Source organism: Homo sapiens, chromosome 16 (assembly GCF_000001405.40).
Source record: "Homo sapiens chromosome 16, GRCh38.p14 Primary Assembly".
Taxonomy (NCBI): domain Eukaryota; kingdom Metazoa; phylum Chordata; class Mammalia; order Primates; family Hominidae; genus Homo; species Homo sapiens.
The window spans coordinates 63,846,813-63,848,917 of NC_000016.10; the positions used below are offsets into that span (position 1 = coordinate 63,846,813).

The 2,105-nt window shown below is 38.2% G+C and overlaps 1 long non-coding RNA gene across 1 annotated transcript; it reads left to right on the forward strand.

Annotated features, from left to right (window-relative positions):
• Nucleotides 1-232: 232 nt before the first annotated feature.
• Nucleotides 233-1,735, forward strand: LOC105371309 (uncharacterized). The gene is made up of 3 exons (XR_933670.2): nucleotides 233-387; nucleotides 501-615; nucleotides 1,556-1,735. It is a non-coding gene; the product is annotated as an uncharacterized LOC105371309 (long non-coding RNA).
• The last annotated feature ends 370 nt before the right edge of the window (nucleotides 1,736-2,105 follow it).

Here is a 2,105-nt window from a genome sequence, read left to right on the forward strand (position 1 = left end):
AGGAAAGGAGAATTCGTAAGTGAGAGAAGCAATAAGAGAAGTCAATCTGTATCTTGCAAAGCAAGATGCCAATGCAGGGCTTCCTGACACCCTCCTTTCATCTGAGAACCTTCACAGATGAAATAAGACATAAAACTCAAGAGTCAAAGGCTCAAGGCATTGCAGAATCTAGAATGCGGAGGTATCCTAGCAACACAAACTTTTTCTTCTGTTTTAGTGAGAGGGTGTCAAAGGTTAAAGCCATGGCACCTACACCGCTGGCCTCATGGCCCATATGTCCTATAGCTGCAATTATAAGAGTTGGATATAAAATTTCCACTGCTTCAGTCCTTTCCCAAGGGACTCAACAGTTGAAGGGCACTGCAGCCCCTCTCATCTTCTGTACATGTGTGTGCGGATGCGTATGTGTGTGTGTGTTATACCAATGTCATTTCTGCTTTTGGGTCTTTATATTTTCTGATTCTTCTGCCTGAAACACTTTCTCCCTCTGTCTTTTACAGGTCTCAGATTACAGGTGACAGTAAAGAGAATCTTGAGCTTCGAAAACAAGGAGTCCTATCTGCTTGTCTTGCTTACTGATAAATTGGCCATGCGTAGCTCCATGCCTTATACGTGGTAAGCAGTCAAATATTCAAGAGTAGATGAGTAATATGAAGGAACATTCATTTGAATGGAATTTTTTAAATTTCAAAACTCTTTCAACTTGCATACAATTTACAAAAAGACTTAGGATATTAATGATTATGTTGTCCTGATTGCTCGGTTGAGGAAATTAAGGCCAAAGAGAAGACGGTTTGCCCAAAATAACTCAGTGGGCAGGTGAGAACACAGGACTTCTGATTTCAAGCCCTGTATTCTTTCTATTACAGAAATAAATAGTTATTAAGATTTTTTTCTGGTCTACTCTGTGAATATGGATTGATAAGATCTGAAAATTTTATGACATATCCCTATGTTTTGATCCTTGCTCTCAAATGTGATACTCTCATTCCCCCACCTGAGCCCTGAGATGCTAAAATATTATATACGTTTTCATATTTCCAACTAAATCTTATATTTCTGAGGTTATCATGGCTTCACATATTTTATGCCCTCCTTGCAAAATGTCCTTCCTCCCTTTGCCTCCTTTCAAAGTCCAGTCTCGTATATCCTAAGCCTTTCAGGAAGAGTCAGTCATCTCCTTTTCCACACTCTTCCCTGTCTGCTGTGCCGAGTGACCATTCCTGACATTGCAGTTTGATGTTTTATTTTGCCAATGTACCAACCTGATCTCACTAGACAGAATTGCATATTGTAGTTATTGGTGAACATAGAGTGCCTAGCATTTCATGTTAAAAGGTTGATCTTGGGAGCATGGCAAAAGCAGAAAGTGTGATGATGCTGTGTGGAAGGTCTATTCCAAGTTCTGTATAGAGCCAGAATCCTTTTCAGCAATTGAAGGACAAAATCTAATGCATCCCCACTGAGTAACAGAGAAAAAGCCTAGATGCTGTGAAATAGAGAAATGTGTGGGAGATAAGGTAGTAATTAACCTCTTCGTATGTGTGCCCAACAGCAATCTTCCACAAGGGCTAGGCAATTTGCAATGAAGATGAAGTTTAAGACATAAAAGGAAGTAAGATTGATCTCATGAAGGCTCCATTTCACAAACACCTTCGGGCATTTCCAATCAACACAGGTTGTTAACATATGCATTTGTGATTTTTTTCTTTCTTTTTCTAAAAATGGAAATATCTTTAAAAAGCAGTCTTATGAAAATAGAAAATGCTCTCATCTCTTACTTTAAGCAAAGTTATAAGTGGGAATCTTGTTTATTATAGTTCTGGTTTGAATACATTTACTGGAAATGTATAATAACACTATAGAGAGAAAGACTGTGCAAGACTTGATGGCAGAGAAGATATTCTGAGTTGATCTGAATTCATATCACAGAGAGGAGGAAAAAGAGGCAGATATAAAATCATATTTGGTTGAATGACATATCAAGCAACCCTGGGTCAAAACACTAAACAATACTTACAACTCACACAAACAACCTGATTCTGTAAATTTCTTTCTAAATTGAAGAGCAGATTCCTGCAGGCTTTGAAAGGGAATTCTTTTCT